The following is an 18041-nucleotide window of genomic DNA, read 5'->3' as shown; positions in this document are numbered from 1 at the left end:
CTTAAAACAACATGATAAAAATTATTCTGTGATGTTTAAACTTGACTGGACTCGAGATTGCACTGTGGTTTCCCTTAGTAAGCGTTATCTTATTAAAAATATGTATGTAAATTTTATGCATGAATATAATTTAAAATACCTGCTGTTACTATCCCAACTCATTTAATTATGTCCAGTGAGTTACTTTTAGAATCTTTTGAAAGTGTAATTAACAATTTATAATGTTACTGAAATCTAAGGTCTATCACTTTAAGCCATCATCACTTATCTAGCTTAAATATGGGTGAGGGTCTAGAAAGCTGCGTTTTCCTTTTCTGTGAAACATAACACATACACGATCTTGACAAAAGCTGGCTCCATAAATACATTTAATCCTTTTGGAATTGATAGCACCATCTTAGCATGCTTAAGCTTATAACAGAAAGTGTAATTCTCTGACAGCAAAGGCAGAGATGAAGTGGGCAGGCAAATCTTACGTATTATCTGTTTTTGGCAAAACCGTAACATTCTCATTACGTTTCCTCTCCAAGCAAAAGAATAATTAAGGTATCTTGTAAATAGTATCATATCTTCAGAAAAACTTTTGTATTTTTAGTTTTTTTTTTTTTAAGTCCTTAAAATGTTGCCCTACTAGTTAGTATATTAAGATACACCTTACAGACCTTTTCAATGCTTGGTCAGTTTGAAGACTCCAGAGAGGTGATGAATTTCAGATGAGCATTTCTTCTTTTCTGGGAGAATGGAGGTTGTGGCCTTGCCTATTCATTAGAGACTGCCTGGTCCGTGGTCACTTTGAGGCAACTGTGGCCTCAGACTCTCATCTGTCCTCTTACTCCACTCAGCTATATTTGGTAACTGAGCTCATGTTTCAGCAGACTGCCACGATCAGGAATTCCAGCAGCGGGCTGGGAAGCACCCCCAGGACCGAGGGCTGGGTTCTTAGAAATAAAGCCACTTAACATAGAAGGAACTATATTTATGGATCTGATAAACGTAGGATTTAAACACATTCTTCTATACTTTGGACTTGTAGCTGGAAATCACCACCTGGACCTTTAACATGTTCTTAATCAATTTAAAGTACAGTATGTGACTCCAAGTAGAAAAAGTGATAATCCAAATGGAAGCTCTTCTTACTCTGATCTTCTGTTCTGTGCATTTAAATTTTGGTCATGTGCTAGATTACCCTAAAATAGTAAATTCAGTAACTGAAAATTTAGCCACCTGTCAAATTGAGTGGAAAGTCCCATTGTTCTCTTATTTCATATTGCTAATTAAAAATTGATATATGACTATGGTATGTATTAAAGGCCTTGTCTATAATAGTATTAAATAAGTATGAACACACAGGGACTGGATCTTATCCACATTGCAACATTGAGTTCTTAGCTCAATGCCTAGGACATCATGAGCATCTCTTAAATATTTGTCAAAGAAATAAATGAATGTTGAATGAATAATATTCAGGAAAAGTATCAACCCTCTTACAGTTGCAAAAAATGTTTCACAATCATTTAATATTTTGATCTTTCAAATGACAAATAGATATAGCAAGAGTTTAATATTTTGATCTTTTAAATAACAAACATAGATAGCAAGAAGAGAAAGCTTTTCTGTTTAAAGGTCAGGTAGCAGAATCAAATATAAGGGGGGCAAAAAGAGCAACACAAAAGCTCCCAGTTAACTTGGAAATGGGGTGCTGAGTCTTCCTTTGTCTGGGTAAGACCATCACATTTGATTCAGTTTAATATCTAAATATTTTTTCTTTTCTGATGTTAGAAAATTTGTGAAGGTCTGCTATTGTATTTTCTTTATAGGCCAAACTGGTCCTTTAGAAATGGTCCTTTCTGTGAGTGGATACTTCTGTGGGTCATTTCATCTATTATATTAATTAAGAAGTGATTTTAAAATTTATACTTACGGCTGGGCGTGGTGGCTTATGCCTGTAATTGCAGTACTTTGGGAGGCCGAGGTGGGTGGATCATGAGGTCAGGAGATTGAGACCATCCTGGCTAACACAGTGAAACCCCCTCTCTACTAAAAATACAAAAAATTAGCTGGGCGTGGTGGCGGGTGCCTGTAGTCCCAGCCACTTGGGAGGCTGAGGCAGGAGAATGGTGTGAACCCGGGAGGCGGAGCTTGCAGTGAGCCGAGATCCCATCACTGCACTCCAGCCTGGGTGACAGAGCGAGACTCCTTCTTAAAAAAAATAAAAATAAAAATAAAAAAATAAAATTTATACTTACAAGGAAATATAACTCTGATTGATTGTCTTAGTTTGTGTCATTATAACAAAATGCCACAGACTGGGTAATTTACAAAGAACAGAAATTGATTTCTCATAGTTCTGGAGGCTGGGAAGTCTAAGATCAAGGTGCCAGCAGGTTTGTTGTCTGGTGAAGTTCCTGTCTCTGCTTCCACAGTGATGCCTTGAGCACTGTGTCCTCACATGGCAGAAGGTGGAAGGGCAAGAGGGGGTCAAACTTCCTCCATCAAGCCCTAAGGGCATCAAATCCCATTCATGAGGAGTCCTCCTGAATCACCTTCTAAACGTTACACCTCCTGATACTGTTGCATAGGGGATTAGGAATCAACAAAAATTTTGAAGGGGACAAAAACCTTCAAACCATAGCATTGCTTAAACACATATTTATATCTGCTTTTTCCTAAAACCACAAGATAATAGTAAAAACTGAAAAGGGCAGAAATTGGGAGGGAAGACAATAGAAGATATCAGAAATGAACAAAATTGTTGGAAAGAGATAAATATAAGTATGCATGTAACTAAATTACAAAGCTTAAATGCCTGCAGGAGGAGATACAGAAAAGAAGCAAGTGATTCACCCCATGGAGTCTCAGAAAGGCTTGGGAATAGGAAGCAGTGAACCCATCTTTAGAAATAATTTTAATTGGCAACTCTGATTTTTGCCTCTGCCTTCTGGTGAACTGTGAGTCTCATGGTGAATTCCAGAGGCAATCATGTTGGACTACTGGCCAGACGAGGCCTCTCCCACATTTCTTTGGATTGCTTGGTTCCTAAATCCTGGTATAACACCAGTGAAGTGATGAAGCCATAAGAAGAAAAAAGAAAAAAAAACAGCTTGTGGTCCTGAGAGAGGCTTCAAAGATGGATATGACTTTACTCAAAAGGACACAGAAATGTGACCTTTTTGTGTGTGTATTGCAAATAGTGCAGCAAACCAAGCTTGTTTTAAAAATCTTATAAGAAGTTCTTTTCCTTAGAAAATTGGCATCAAAAAAATTTAGAAAGTTTGATCAACACTCTTAAGTTAGTATAGCAAGGTCCAGTTGATATTAAGGATGAGATTAGTGTGTGGACAGTAATATCATTTCTCATGCACTTTCATATTTTCCACCAGAGCCCATTTCTGTGTGCACGAAGGTTGGGAAAGGGAGTCTGTGGCTCCTTCATGGGGCTCCAGTTCAGCTTTCAAATGATTACTTCTTCTTATAGAAATTCCTGCTCTTTTGAAGCACTTATATTTGCATCAACCATCCTCCATCCCACTTTTTAAAATTAAGACTTTGGATCTAGTTGGGCTCTTGGTTCTCTTCTTCACTCCACACCCTGCCATTATTCTGGGTGACTCAGCACCCATTTGTCTATTCTATATGTTGGCATATTGGTTTTGGACCTGCTTTTCTCTATGAATCTTCATCTCTGTTCCTCTTACAGATCACACAAACAGACCTCCTCCACCTCCAAAATCAGATATAACTTATCTACTGCTTCATAACAAATTACTGCAAAAATTAATGTCTTAAAACAATATATATTTGTTATTTCACACAGTTTCTATGTGTCAGGAATCCATTAGTCTTAGCTGGGTAATTCCAGATCAGGGTATCATGAGATAGTACTGAAGATGTTGCCCCAGCTTCTTTCAGGTGGAAGCATGGCTGGGGCTGGAAAATCTGCTTCCAAGGCAGCTCACTCACGTGCCTGGAAAGTTAGTCCTGTTATTGGCTGGAACCCTGTTGACTTCTCTGTGTCACTGCCTGAGTTTCCTAGCTTCATGGCAGCTGGATTGTGCCACAATGTCTTTTTTTTTAAAGTGGAGTTTTGCTCTTGTTGCTGGAGTGCAGTGGCATGACCTCAGCTCACTGCAACCTCCACCTCCTGGGTTCAAGTGATTCTCCTGCCTCAGCCTCCCAAGTAGCTGGGATTACAGGTGCCCACCACCACGCCCAGATATTTTTTTGTATTTTTAGTAGAGATGGGGTTTCACCATGTTGGCCAGGCTGGTCACAAACTCCTGACCTCAGGTGATCCACCCACCTCAGCCTCCCATAGTTTTGGGATTACAGGTGTGAGCCACCGCGCCCGGCCCCATTATATCTTTTATGATCCAGCCTTGGAGGTCATATTTCGTCTTTCCCGCAGTATCCTTTAGTTATACAAATTGGCAGTATCCACTGTGGGAGGAGACTGCATAGAGGCGTAAAAACCAGTTGGCAAGACAATGCATTGGTGGTCATCTTGGCAGTTGGCTACCACACCTCTATTCCCTTTAACCCATCAGTCCTATAGCCACATTGGGGCATGCTCTGTTTTCACAACTGCACGTTCAAACATGTTATTTGACTGTAAACTTTCTTCCTCTAGCTCTCTCATACACTGATTTTTCTTCTTCACCAGAATTTCCAGGCTGTAGATCACTCTGTTTTGAGATTATCTATCAGTCTGCCTCCCAGGTTCAGGTCAATCGAGGATACTGGTTTACAAACTTTGTTTTAGGAGATACAAACTCTTGGGCAGCCAATAGAAAAAGTAAAGGTATTCAAAGTTTCCTTGATGAAAGGGGTGTGCAAAGGAATGCAGCAGACTTGCTCATTCATCCCCCTTGGACGTTTTCTTTTTCTTACGATCCAGGAAGTTTGAAAATCCTAAGTTTCAAGAAACAAGTCTACTTACTCCCTTTTCACTTTTATTCCTCTCTTCATTCCCAGCGTCAACCACCAGGAAACAAGGATCACGGAGCATGTGAGAAAATGGTAATTGAGAAGGCTGATCAAGGAACACACTAAAATTGGAGGCATGAAACACTTGCAGAATTGTCCCAATGGTCCATCTGGGGATCCTGGGAACAAGTGTCTTTCAAGCCACGACCAGTCTTTCTACTTCTTCCTCATACTTTGTATCTGGCTTGTGTACATGTCACAGAATCAGGTATGGCCCCAAAGACTTGTCTGATTAAACTGGTATATCTATCTGTACGTAGCAGGGAACTCCAGATTTGTCCCTCATGAGCTCGATTTTATGAACTGTGATTAAATCTGCATAAATGTAGCCTGAGCCTGTGGGTGATCTTTTGGTCACATGTTTCTGCTACTTGGGATGTTTGCTAACTTGTGCATATGCACAAAAATGAAGAGAGAAACATAATCTTATGATGATAGGTAATAGAAGTAGAATTGAGATAGTCTGGAAACAAAATCTATGTCTGTATACGAGTATTGGGGTACAGTTAGCTATTATGATCCTTAGAAATAATCTCATTTTCTATCTGCCTTACAAGGGTCCAAATGTAGAGACAAGTATTATTTAGGGTGAAAAAGCCAGTAAAATTAATTTCAAAAGCAGATTTTATTGAATTTAAGCAAATAAAATAAGTCTTGGAATTTACAAAGACAGAATAACATCATTATATCATTATATTATCCTTTTATCATTATGTCATTATTCAGTAATATAAAATTGAATGAAGACAGACGAGTGCACATTGGTGTTTTGAATAGTAAAATAAAATTTGAAAAAAATAGTAATAAATAAAAGCCAACAATGTATTAAAAGAATAATACACTTTGGACAATTGGGTTTTAGCCAAGTCATAAAAGTTGGCTTAACATCCAAACTTCTAGTATTTAATTCTTCAAAAGAAACTCAAAAGAAAAAAGCCATATGGTCAGCTCCATATATTGTTAGTGAGTCTTCAGACAAAATTCAATGTCTAGTCCCAATGGAAAAAAAAAACTTTTGTGAGAAGTGAAGAGAATGGTTCTACTTTAACATTATATTTTAAGGTATAGGTGCATGTGTGACTGTGTATACATACACACATTTATCCATACACACATATGATGCAATATATAGTAATGAGATAAAACACCAAGGAATACTAACAACTAATATGCAGGTTTTAATGTATACTAAAGAAGAGAAAGGAATGAAATAACGAAATAAATGGAATGCTATATCCCGTTCTTATATAGGAAGAATTGATTTTGTAATGTAATCAGTTCTTTATCAAAATAATCTACAACTGTCATATAATCTCAATTAAAATAGCATTTTTGCCAGGTACAGCGGTTCACACTTGTAATCCCAACACTTTAGGAGGCTGAGGAAGGAGAATTGCTTGAGGCCAGGAGTTCAAGATCAGCCTGGGCAATATAGTGAGACCTTGTCTCTAGAAAAATTAAAAAATTTAGCCAGGTGTGGTGGTGTGTTCCTGTAGTCTCAGCCACTTGGGAGGCTGAGGCGGGAGGATCGCTTGAGCCCAAGAGTTTCAGGCTGCAGTGAGCCATGATTGTGCCACTGCACACTCCATTCTGGGTGGCAGAGCAAAGTCTTCTTTCTAAAAAATAAAAACAAAAATAAAAAATAAAGTAGCATTTTTTGCTGGACTTAGAAAAACTGACACAAAATTTACCTAGACAAATTAGCATGGCAAAATATCTAGGAAGATTGTGTGAAAAGGAACGCTAAGGGCAGAGGAGTAGCCCTTCATTGCTACTGGAGTACTAACAGATTTCTTATGGCGATACAAGGAATGGAGGAATGGATGAATAAAATGACATATTTTATTCTTGTATGGAAAGAACATTATTTTGAATTGGCAGCATATATTAAATAACTACATACGTTTTGATTTATTTCTTGGCCTTGTTCAGTTCCACTGACTTCCCCCTCATTATTAAAAAACTGGATTCCTATTTCACTTCATTCAGCAAATTGAAGTTCTTTTGGCTCACATGAATTGGAAAAAAAATCATAGTGGAATGGATAAATATGTATGTAGTCATAGAAATATATTCAAGATAGATTTAGGATAAAAAGAGTATACATGAGAGTGTGTTAGAGCATCATCATATTTGTATGTATACTTATATCTATTTTTATAATTTCTCTCTCTTTCCTGACATATGAATAAAACATTTTGAAGTTTTCCTCGAAGATGATAGGTTAATTTTGGTGAGAAAATGCATTCTGACTAGGATGCAAATAGGGTTGTATGTTGACTCCAACATACATGCTGTATTGTTATTTTAAAAATGGCATCAGAGAAAAAAAATGGCATCAGAGATTATCTTGACTGTTACTGTTTCTTACTCTTTATACTTTTCCCTATCAATAATTATGATTTTTAAATGTGTTTTCTAAGGTACTAAAACAAGAGGTGATACAGAAATAAGCTATCCCAAATATAGCATTAAGTGAAACAAACACATCGTATACTAGTTATTATATCCGGAAGGTAAGATTAAAGGAAACCTTCATTTTTTTCTTTTTGTGTTTGAAATTTGTATGTATTTGCATTATATTTATCATCAAATTGCTGTGCTCAGTGGTACCTGTCTGTAGTCCCAGCTATGCGGGAGAATGAGGCAGGAGGATCCCTTGAGCCCAGGACTTTGAGGCCAGCCTGGGTAACATAATAAGACTCCATTTCTCAAAAAGGAAAAAAAAAAAAAAAAAAAAAAAATTCCGGTCATGAGCCTGAAGTCCATTTAATCTTAAAAAAACCTTTCTTAATTGTTTAATCCACTAGAGAGTAAAATTTTTTTAAGTCTTTGGGTATAAAATAGAGAATAATCAATTAAAGAAATTTTGAATGCAGTATGTTTCTATTTGGAGAATAAAAAAAAACTTTACTGACTTTAAAAATCTTAAACCAGATTTCCTCTACTGTGGATCAGCTCTTGTGAGCTGATTTGCAAATCAGACCCATATACAAGCGAACCATATTCTGCATATACTGTATGAACATTCACCTTCATCTGGCTACTTTTAAAATGTCATAACCTTTGATCCACTCTCTCTCTGATCTGTTCCAAGGACAGAATCCTAACTACAGTAAACACTTTACATAAAAACACATTTAATTCTGTATTATTTATAGAAGAAAAAATCAAAGCAATCTAAATGTGCATGTTATGGAATGGCTTAAACTCATGGAATTTTAAAGTAGCCATAAAATATGATTTTTCTGATGTGTTTATATTAAAGGAAAAATGCCGATTATATTATGCTAAGGGAAACAGGAAGAAAATCAATAGTCTTTGAAGTCCGAATATAACTTAAAAAAAGTTAAGACTCTTTGCATGGCTGGAAGTTTTAATGCTTTAAACTGAGTTGCTTTTGACATTTTACTACGTATGAAGACATCAATAAACTGTATAGGGTGATTTTTTTTTCCTCTACTAGAAAGAAAAGGCAAATCTACCAAGATAATTAGTTATTTAGAAAGGCTTTGACATTTATTTGACCTAAATCAAAATGAACAATATTTTGTTTCTCTTAAAGTTTGCATTTTATATGCCTCATGGAGATACTTAGCGATATTCAGCAACCTTGCAAATGGAGTGGTCTCTGCCAGACAGCTACTAACAGCTGTAGAACAATTTCAGAAGCTGCTTACCCAAGAAGTCTAATGTGGAAGGACATGGCTGTCACTGCCTGGGGAAGCAAATAGGAAAGAATATGACAAAGGAGGAAATCAGCTGTTGGACCAAAGAATTTAAACTTTGATAAAATGCCAACCGTCGAAGACAGTTGCTGTCTCACACAAAATCCCAAGAACTGTGCATACTCTACTTCTGTCAGCCTAGCAATTTGCTCAGCTATTGCTATTTTGGGAAGGAATTTCCACCAAGCTGGCGTATCTTCAGCCCCTGAGGTTTCCTCTGATTGACTGATTAACAGGTGTTGAAAAAGCCTGTTGTAGAAATATCACAGACCCAGTGTGCTCGTTTGACTTCTGTAACTGTGACTGTAGTTTCATTGAATATATTGTTTCTTAAGAAGACTTTCTGCAGGGTAAAATCAAAACAGATTATTTATAACATTTTTAGGTAATTACTTTTCCATAGAGACAGCATATGCATTTGTTAATATGCTTTATTATTTATGAATTATAAATTGAATATGGTACTAATGATTGTGCAGATGAAAGCTAAATTAATATAACACAGAGTGAACTTGTCAAAGAAATGTTGGCATTATAAGCCTAAAAATGCAGTCAGCCCTCCGTGGACTCTACATTTGGTAATTCAACCAACAGTGCATCCAAAATATTTTTAAAAAGCCAACAATACAACAATGAAACATAATACAAATAAAAACAATATAGTATAACACCTATTTATAAAGCATTTACATTGTATTAGGTATTGTAAGGAATCTGGAGATGATTTAAAGTATATGGGAAGATGTGTCTAGATTATATAAAACACTACACCATTTTTTTTTATAAGGAACTTGAGCATCTGTAGATTTTGGTATCTGCAGGGAGTCCTGAAACCAATCCCTCTTGGATACTGAGGAACAACTGTAATCATATTTTTCTAAGAGATAAAAGGAAATTGAATGGAATTAAGGCTAGGTTATCCAAGTGTACCTGATTCCTGACAAGCCAAGTCTGAATGATGAGCAGGACTTTGAATTACTTTGACAGAGGTGTACCCTTTAGGATGCCCACTCAATCATCAGTGAAGCAGGCACCCCAGAGCCAGAAGTTTCCATGGAAGTCTTCACCTACCTTGCCTACCTCCAGTGAGTTGTGATAGGACCTCTCCTGAACCCACAAAACAGATCCAATCAAGTTCCACCTTCCATTCATGGACTTTCCCCTCTTCATTGCCTCACGCAATGTCATAGCTGGAAGAGTTGATCTTGTCTGACCTCCCAAGAGAAGATGTCTTATCCAAAATCACAAAGCTGCCAAATGTCAGCTGGGCTGAGAAGTGGCTGGTCCTACTCTTCGACTGTCTGGGCCAGCCCAGCCTGGGGAGGTGCTATCAGTGCGAGGCCCATAGTCCCTGAAAGCTTCACAGAAATGGGTGAAGATGGGGAGAGAGCTTCTCACGTCCTAGTTAAAGACTGGAATAATCATTAACTTTGCTTAGTGTTGCCCAATAAACAAGCTTAGCAGATGAGTGAGAAGGCAAGGAAAGAGAATCAGACTTGGGATCTAGAAGCTGAGATGACCTTAGGGACACTATTCTGCCTCAGGCCACTCTGAGGAATTGGGAGCTTCTAACTGGGCTGGGTAGGCAGCTATTACGCACTGGTGTTTATGTCTGGTATGAAAAGTGACTGGGGGAGGTGGGGAGATTTTAAATCAGTCAATGATCATAGGTGTGGACGGTGAGTAATAAGGAGATAAATGGAATTCAGTAGCATAAAGGGTGAAGCCTCGTCCTTTGAGCTTTTCTGAGAAACCCAAGTGGTATGCAGCTAGAGAGGTGGGGGCTGCGGATGACAGTGGGTCAGAAAGTTGATAGGGGGACACTGATCAAGTAGAAAGCCACGGGGGATGGATGAGGACTTCAGTTATTCCTCTGAAGAAAAAAAGAAGTAGCTTTATGAGAGTATATTAATTCAGATCAAGGGAGTGAGCCCAGGCAGAGGTTATGAGTAAAAAGGGGTGGAGTTTTACCACTGTGAGTCAAGAGTGAAGAGCCTGCTGAATCATGTAGGGGTGAGGATGTTGGTGATAGGGCAGACCCCTTCCAGGGCAGAAGGCCTGGAATGCAATCAGTTCCCCACAGAAAGGACTAAGGTCTACTGTCCCAGCAATGCAAGTTCACACCTAAAAGCAAGGGTGTAGGATCAAGTCTCCAAAACCCGAGAGATCAGCTGCAGTGCATACCCTGCTCCCTGGCCTGCTCTGGTCCCTGTCCCCATCAGGGTCACTTCAGATGGCAGTGCCTGGCTTACCAGCCATCTGTCTGAAGAATTAACTCTGAGGCATTCACTAAACACACTTAGGCCATCAAACCTCACACCATATACCAACATAAATTCAGGTGCTAAATGGAAAAAACAAAACCAAAAATAACCATAATAAAATACATGCCTTTTTGTTTGTTTGTTTTTTGGCTCTATGGTAGTGAAGGAGTTTTCTATCCATAAGGGCAAATGAAGGAAATATAAAGGCACAGTGCGATAAATCTGATGACTTTTAAAAGCTCCTAACTGTGAAACTAAAACAAAATCTTCATTTAAAAAGAAGAAAAGGCAAGTTAAAAAAATGAAAGGAAACCTTGGCAAGATGTGGCCTTGCAATTCAATAAGAAAAAACACATGGATAGGAAAATGAGCAGTATATTTAAAATTTATAAGACAATAGATATATGAAATAATATAGTCAGCCTTCTGTGGCTTCTACATCTGTGGATTCAACTAACCATGGATCAAAGATATTCAGAAATATTGAACATGTATACTTTTTTCTTGTCATTCTCTAAACAATACAGTATAACTGTTTACATAGTATTTACATTGTCTTAAGTATTATAAGTAATCTAGAGATGATTTAAAATTTATATGCAAATATGCCATTTCATAAGGGACTTGAGTATCCATGGATTTTAGTATCCAAGAGGGTCCTGGAACTAGTTCCCCATGGATAACTAGGGACAGCTACATATTACATTATCTTGACTTAATTTTGTCTCAAAAACTGTCAAAAAAGCCACTAGAACAATGATCAGTATTAGAGAAAAAACAAACCAAAAAAGAAAAAAATCCAGTGTTAGATTGTCAAACACGTAAGGAATACAATTTGTTATACTATTTTTATATTAAATTTCATTTCTTGATTTTTTCTTTAACATATATCCAAAACAAAAGGAACATGTATACATGAATTGTTCAAATATTTAATAAAAGTAAATTATAAATAAGATAAAATCTCAATGTATTTGCCATGACATGCCTTCTTATCACATTCAAAGTAAAAGTCACAGTCTCTTTTGTTCTCTGGGATCAGGCATGATCTGCCTCCTCACCTTATCTTTGTGACATTCTCCCACTCTTGCCTAGTCCTTCAGCTTCAGTCACACAGGCCTCTCTAATGCTCCTTGAACCCACATGGCTCACTCTATCTCAGGGATTTCCCTGTCCCTCAGCCAGGCTTGGTCTCTCCAAGAAAAAAGAATGGCCTAACTTCCTTCCAATCTTTAGTCAAGTCACCTTCTTAGTGGGACTTTCCCTGTCTATCCTATCTAAAATTTCATCTTCTTTTCCCATCAGGATTTGATATCTCCTCTTCTCTATGTATTTTTTCTCTTATAGCTTATTTTTATCTAACACAATGGACTTTTTACTTCTCTTGTTATTGTTTATATTCTTTACTAGAATGTAAACTCTGAAGGAAGGAGTTTTTAATATTTTGTATCAGTGTATAAAAAGTGTCTGGCGTAGTAGGTCACCATACATACATGTTTAGTGAATCCCTAGAAAGGAATGTCCAGAAATTACGATGTTTGAATGCATATGGATTGATATTACTGTTGCCACTCAACACAAGGCTTTAAGACTTTTTAAGACAGAGTAAGACCCTGTTATCTGTCTCATAACTCAAGGAAGGACAAGCTACCTAGTGCTACATTCATGGTTCTCAGTATTTCCTGAAGAGAATAATAATAATGATACCTGCATCCTATTGCTTTGTGTCTGATCTCTTTACAACATTGAATTCACTTAATCCTTTAACAACTCTGTGGATTGTTTTTAACTCCCGTTTTAGAGATGAAAGACAGAGGTTAACTTACCCAATACACTGAAGCTAATACGTGATGGAACTGTTATTAGAGAGATCCTCTGAATCAAAACACTTACTTGTCACCATTAAGGTATAGTGTTTGGGAGCTCTAAAAAAAGATGAAATACCAATAGGCAGATTAATCTGAAAGCAATGAGGAAATGCTAATGGATTTTAAGACAGGGAGTAACATGATCAGGTTTACATGCTAGAGAAATTACCCTGGCAGGAGAGTGGAAAACAGAATGGAGAGAACAGGCTGGAGTCAGGAAATGAATAGGCTTTTGCAATAAACCAGATGACAACACATGAGGCTCATTCTAGTGAGTGGAAGGAATGACATAAAAGAGAATATGGAATTCAGATGTATCAACTGTGGTGAGCCAAGATCATGCCATTGCACTCCAGCCTGGGAGACAGATCAAGACCCTGATTCAAGTTAAAAAAAAAGAAAAGAAAAGAAAAAGAAAGGAGAGGCTGGTATAAAATCTTGAATATCACCAATAGGTCAATAAATCGTGGACTACATAGCACTGTTTGAATTTGGCAATTAATAGGTCATCATGAATGAGTTTGGCAGAGGAGCTTCAGGGCAGATTCTGGTCTAAAGATAGACTAGACCAATAAACTTTAGGACTTTGAAGGAGAAGTGGAGATGATGACTGTATACCCTTATGAAGTGCCATGATCAAAAGGAGGAGATGAGGCCCTGGTGTGGTAGTTCACACCTGTAATCCCAGCACTTTGGGAGGTTGAGGCGGGCAGATCACCTGAGGTCAGGAGTTCGAAACCAGCCTGGCCAACATGGTGAAACCCCATCTCTACTAAAAATACAAAAATTAGCCAGGCATGGTGGCATGCACTTGTAATCTCAGCTAACCAGGTGGCTGAGGCAGGAGAATCGCTGGAACCCGGGGGGCAGAGGCTGCAGTGAGCCGAGATCATGCTACTGTACTCCAGCCTAGGCGACAGCAAGACTCCGTCAAAAAAAAAAAAAAAAAAAAAAGTGAAATAGGGCAGGGCTCATTCTTGTAATTGTTTTGGAGGGGAAAGTGACTTTATCATTTTAATGGAATGAATAGTAAATGCCAGTTGCATTAGATTCCTATTGTTGCTATAGCAAGTTACCACAAACTTGGTGACTTAAAACACACATTTGTTACAATTCTGGAGGTCCGAAGCCTAAAAATCAAGGTATTGGTAGGGCTACATTATTTCTAGGGGGTCTAACGGGGAGTCTGTTTCCTTACCTTTTCCAGCTTCTACAGGGCACATGTATTACTTAGCTTGTGGTCCCTTTCTCCATGTATAAGCCAGCAGCACAGCATCTTCTCTCTCCTCTGATCTCCCATTTCTCTCTTACAAGGACCCTTGAGATTACATCGGGCCTACTCTGGAAAATCTAGGATAATCCTCCATCTCAAGATCTTTAAATTAATCACATGCAAAGTTCATTTTGCCCTGTAAGGTAACATGCACACATTCTGGGGATTAGGGCATGCACAGCTTTGGGAGCCATTTATTTGTCATTGCACTCTCTGCCCCAAACATTCTCATCAATTCCATATGCAAAATGAGCCATTCCAAGGTCCCCCCAAAGTCCTAATCTATTGTAGTATCAACTTAAGTCCAAAAATCCCATCTAAATCTCATCTGCTGAAAAGACCTAAATGATTAAATCAGGTATAGTTGAGACTTTGGGTATGAACCATCCTGAGGCAAAATTTCTCTCCATATGTGAAGCTTTAAGACTAGAAAACAAGTTATTTGCTCCAAAAATACAATGGTGGAACAGGAATAGGGTACCAGTTACAGATATTCCTGTTCACAAAGGGAGAAAATGGAAGGAGAAAAAGCCAAGAAATTTCAAAAATCTGCAAGGCTAACTCCATAGGTTTTAAGGCCTGTGAATAACCATTTGTGTCTCTAGGCTCTGCCCTCAGAGTCATCCTTCATGAAAGATAGCACAAGTTTGGGGCTGAATAGTTTTATCAGACTGTTTATTGCTTATGGAATTTTGGGAGTCCTATAACCGTCTTTCATTTTATTCTCTCTCTGTACCTTTCAGTTCAAGCTGGCAGTGTTTCTGCTGATATTCTCAGAAATCTTTTGGATTTCCTGTGTATGTCACAGAGATCTTTTTGAAGCACTAGCAAAAGGTTGTCCAGCTGTACTCATGACTTTTTCTCCAGAGTACGTTTTCCCAGCAGTGAGTCTCTTACTTTTACCATCCTTTGCAGTCTTGAAATCCTGATAATTTCCCACATTATCCTTGTCCTGGTTCCTTTTTGATAATAGTCCTTCCCTCTTATAAGGACCCTTCTGATTATATCAGGTCCCCAGATAATCCAGGGTAATTTCCCCATCTCAAGATTCTTAGGAATATCTGCAAAGTTCTTTTTGCAACAGAAGATGACATATTTATAGGTACAAGGATTAGGACATAGATGTCTTTGGGAGACCATTATTCAGTCTACCACAGCTGTAAATAGAGAGAGGTTAACAATATAGGAATGGAGTGAGATTCCTGAGGAAGCTGGAGGTAACCAACTCAAAAGGGAGTGGTTATATTGTATGTGGAGCATGTCATGGGCTTCTTGGACTAGATGGAGGTGTCAGACAGTTAAAAGGAGTCTCTTTAAAACAGATATATTCTTAGTGGACTTGAAGAGAACAGCAAGATGCTGTAGGGTTTTAAGGGCCACTGTAAAAAAGATCAGGAACCTATAGTCATAAACAGTAAATCTGAGGTGAAAAATATTAGACAATTTCCTTCAATGTCCTGGTAAGGGCAAAAAATGGTTTACTAGATTGAGGTGATCAAGTTGCAGTGAAGGTGCAGAGGAAAGAGAGTGGATGAAGCAGTTGAGAATGTTAGTGAGAGGAAGGTTCAGTGCCTGTTCACAGAGTTGATCCTGGGGAGGTGAAAGAGTGGGGCTCCTAAGGAGACTGAGAGATTGAGGCAAGGGGGAAGTCTCTAAAAAGTGGAAATGGAGTTTATGATTTTCAAGTTTCTGGATAATGTCCAGGCTGGAGTTATGGTAACATATTATTAAAGTGGAAGAGAACTGGATATTGATTTGGAGTAGAGTCTGCTTATGTGCATTGTACATATACTTTGCGGTGGGAAGTGGGATGTGTGGAGTTAACATCTAGGGAATCCCCACCTGATACATCTATATCTTTAAGAGAGAAAAACAACAGCAGACAGTCAATTATATTAAGAACATGTAGGGCCCACTTCTACAACCAAAAGAGGAAATCCCCATTAAATTGTATGTGCTTTGGGGGAGGAATAATGACACTGTAGTATTTAAAAGAACTGGAATGAGATAATATATACAGAGAATATTGTAGATATTATCTTTGGAATTAAATTTTGAAGTCTTGGCTACCATTAACTACCTGTAGGGTCATCGACAAGTAATTGAATTCTCTAAGCCTTATTTACCTCATCCATAAAATAGCAACAGTAAAGTTGCTCATGGGATTTCTGTGAGATTTAATGTGATAATACATGTTAAGGGCTTAGCCTATTGCCTGGCACATAAAAAGCTCAATGAATGCTTTTACAGCAAAGCCCAATTTTCTGCTGCTAGCAAATGCATTCTTATGATACAAAGGTCCAGTATCAGATGCTAGAGAGGAATTCATCTGAGATGAACTCATGACTTAATCATGAGTCATTTCAGGTTCTTTCTCAATGTCATCCTCATTGAGAAAGAGAATCATAACTATTTTCAACCAAACATAAAATTAAAGAAAAATCCTGACAGAAGTGAGCAATGTTTTCACCTCCTTTTCGAAGCCACTTTATATTCCAGAGTCTGAGAAAAAACTTTGTTCTTCTGGGCTCTTTCTATTGTGAACAAGTCACTTCCACCCTTTCCTTTTCTTGAAGACAGAACTTCCGGTTTCGATTTCTCTCCATTTATTACCCCATGCCGTTACTGGGGCACCCTCACCACCACCTTGAATCTCAATATATTCTGCACATGCATAACGTCATGGAATTAAGCGTCTGGAGCACTAAAGACCATGATGGGCTGGGGTTGAAACTCGAATTTCAAACATTAATGAGCTTGATGACAAAACTAAAGAGCATTCTTCTTCTCAATTTAAATTCTCTGTGATAGATGATTGGTCTTTCAAATGTTCACACTGGACAGTTATACTATTGGAAATTTTTCATAAAATGAACTTCTTAGGACAGAAACTCAAAGCCCCTAATCCTTTTTTACTCCATTTTTGCCTGTCCAGTACCTTGCCAGAAAAGAAAAACGCCACACCTCACCGCAGACTTTCATAGTGCTTAGCGTGCTGCATTTACTCTCAGCCTCAATTCCTTGTTTAGAGTCCCAGATTTCTCTGCTTTCTTTCCCTTTACAATTACATGCATGTCCCAGATAGCATATCATCGCTTCTACTATTACTTCCCTAAGATTCTCAGAGTAAACCAATGCAGACCTATATTCTACCTCCAGAAAACTGCGGAAATCGAAAAGGCCTCGCGGTGGAGAAAAGAAACCGAAACTAACTCCCTAGATAAAAACTCAGGCGCTGGCTGCTGTGTGGCTCAGAGCGCCCAGTCCGACGCCAGGCTCTGCGCTCGGTCTCCTCTGCTCCACCTCCTCCCCGCGGGGCGTGCAGCTCCGAAGCTCTTTGGACCTAGCAGGTTCGGCGGCCGGGGTGAGGATTGCGGGTGACGTCGGGTGTCGCTAGGGACCCTGGAGCGGAGCTGTCCCGCGGGGGTTCTAGGATTCCTTCAACATCCAGATGGACCGGGCGGGGAGGTGGCCTGGTGGCTTCGTGCGCGCCGGGCGAGGGAAGCTGGGGCGCCCACTGGGCTCGGGCGGCAGCTTCGCGGAGAGGTAGGGAAGAGGGACAACCACCGTGAGAGAGGAGAGTGCTCAGGCATTTAACGGGTCCTCTGCACCCGAGGGGGCCTGGGGATCTGGGGTGCTGAGGAGAAAGTAAGGGTCACCACATCTGAGCACAGCCATTCGAACCTGGACATTGACAGGCAGCAAGCCGCTTCCCTTTTTTCCGTCTTGTATTTAAGCTTTTTTTTTTTTTTTTTTTTTGAGTCAGTCTCGCTCTGTCGCCCAGGCTGGAGTGCAGTGGCGTTATCTCTGCTCACTGCAACCTCCACCTTCCGGGTTCACGCTATTCTCCTGCCTCAACCTCCCGAGTAGCTGGGACTACAGGCACCCGCCACCACGCCCGGCTAATTTTTTTTTATTTTTTATT

The 18041-nt window shown here is 38.9% G+C and overlaps 2 protein-coding genes and 1 long non-coding RNA gene across 37 annotated transcripts in view, besides 2 other annotated features; 2 read left to right on the top strand and 1 right to left on the bottom strand.

Moving 5' to 3' along the window:
• PALLD (palladin, cytoskeletal associated protein) overlaps positions 1-805 on the bottom strand; it is a 431390-nt gene extending 430585 nt beyond the window's left edge. For all 12 annotated transcript variants that reach the window (XM_011531768.3, XM_011531769.3, XM_011531771.3 and 9 more), the window contains exon 1: positions 663-805. The gene's annotated coding sequence lies outside the window, so the exon portion shown is untranslated. The remainder of the gene's footprint in view (positions 1-662) is intronic.
• LOC107986198 (uncharacterized) overlaps positions 1-11107 on the top strand; it is a 44091-nt gene extending 32984 nt beyond the window's left edge. The window contains exons 2-4 of the long non-coding RNA XR_001741448.3: positions 4972-5191; positions 7407-7499; positions 8549-11107. This is a non-coding gene — a long non-coding RNA (uncharacterized LOC107986198). The remainder of the gene's footprint in view (positions 1-4971; positions 5192-7406; positions 7500-8548) is intronic.
• Positions 9771-10970: an enhancer, noted in NCBI's record as "CDK7 strongly-dependent group 2 enhancer chr4:169408038-169409237 (GRCh37/hg19 assembly coordinates)". NCBI's record gives its function as "activates an origin of replication core promoter dependent on BRD2, BRD4, P300/CBP, MED14 and CDK7 cofactors, with strong dependence on CDK7, by STARR-seq in HCT116 cells {active_cell/tissue: HCT116}" and the evidence as "EXISTENCE:reporter gene assay evidence [ECO:0000049][PMID:35650434]".
• Positions 17107-17346: an enhancer, noted in NCBI's record as "active region_22125". NCBI's record gives its function as "activates an Ori minimal core promoter by ATAC-STARR-seq in GM12878 lymphoblastoid cells {active_cell/tissue: GM12878}" and the evidence as "EXISTENCE:reporter gene assay evidence [ECO:0000049][PMID:35858748]".
• DDX60L (DExD/H-box 60 like) overlaps positions 17365-18041 on the top strand; it is a 123758-nt gene continuing 123081 nt past the window's right edge. For 16 of the 24 annotated variants that reach the window (XM_011532405.2, XM_047416401.1, XM_047416400.1 and 13 more), the window contains exon 1: positions 17365-17480. The gene's annotated coding sequence lies outside the window, so the exon portion shown is untranslated. Of the gene's footprint in view, positions 17663-18041 lie in introns of all 24 variants that reach the window. The other 8 variants (XM_047416399.1, XM_005263341.5, XM_011532403.3 and 5 more) reach the window with 2 other exon arrangements.

Source organism: Homo sapiens, chromosome 4 (assembly GCF_000001405.40).
Source record: "Homo sapiens chromosome 4, GRCh38.p14 Primary Assembly".
In the NCBI taxonomy this organism is placed as follows: domain Eukaryota; kingdom Metazoa; phylum Chordata; class Mammalia; order Primates; family Hominidae; genus Homo; species Homo sapiens.
This window is presented reverse-complemented; position numbering and strand designations above follow the sequence as displayed.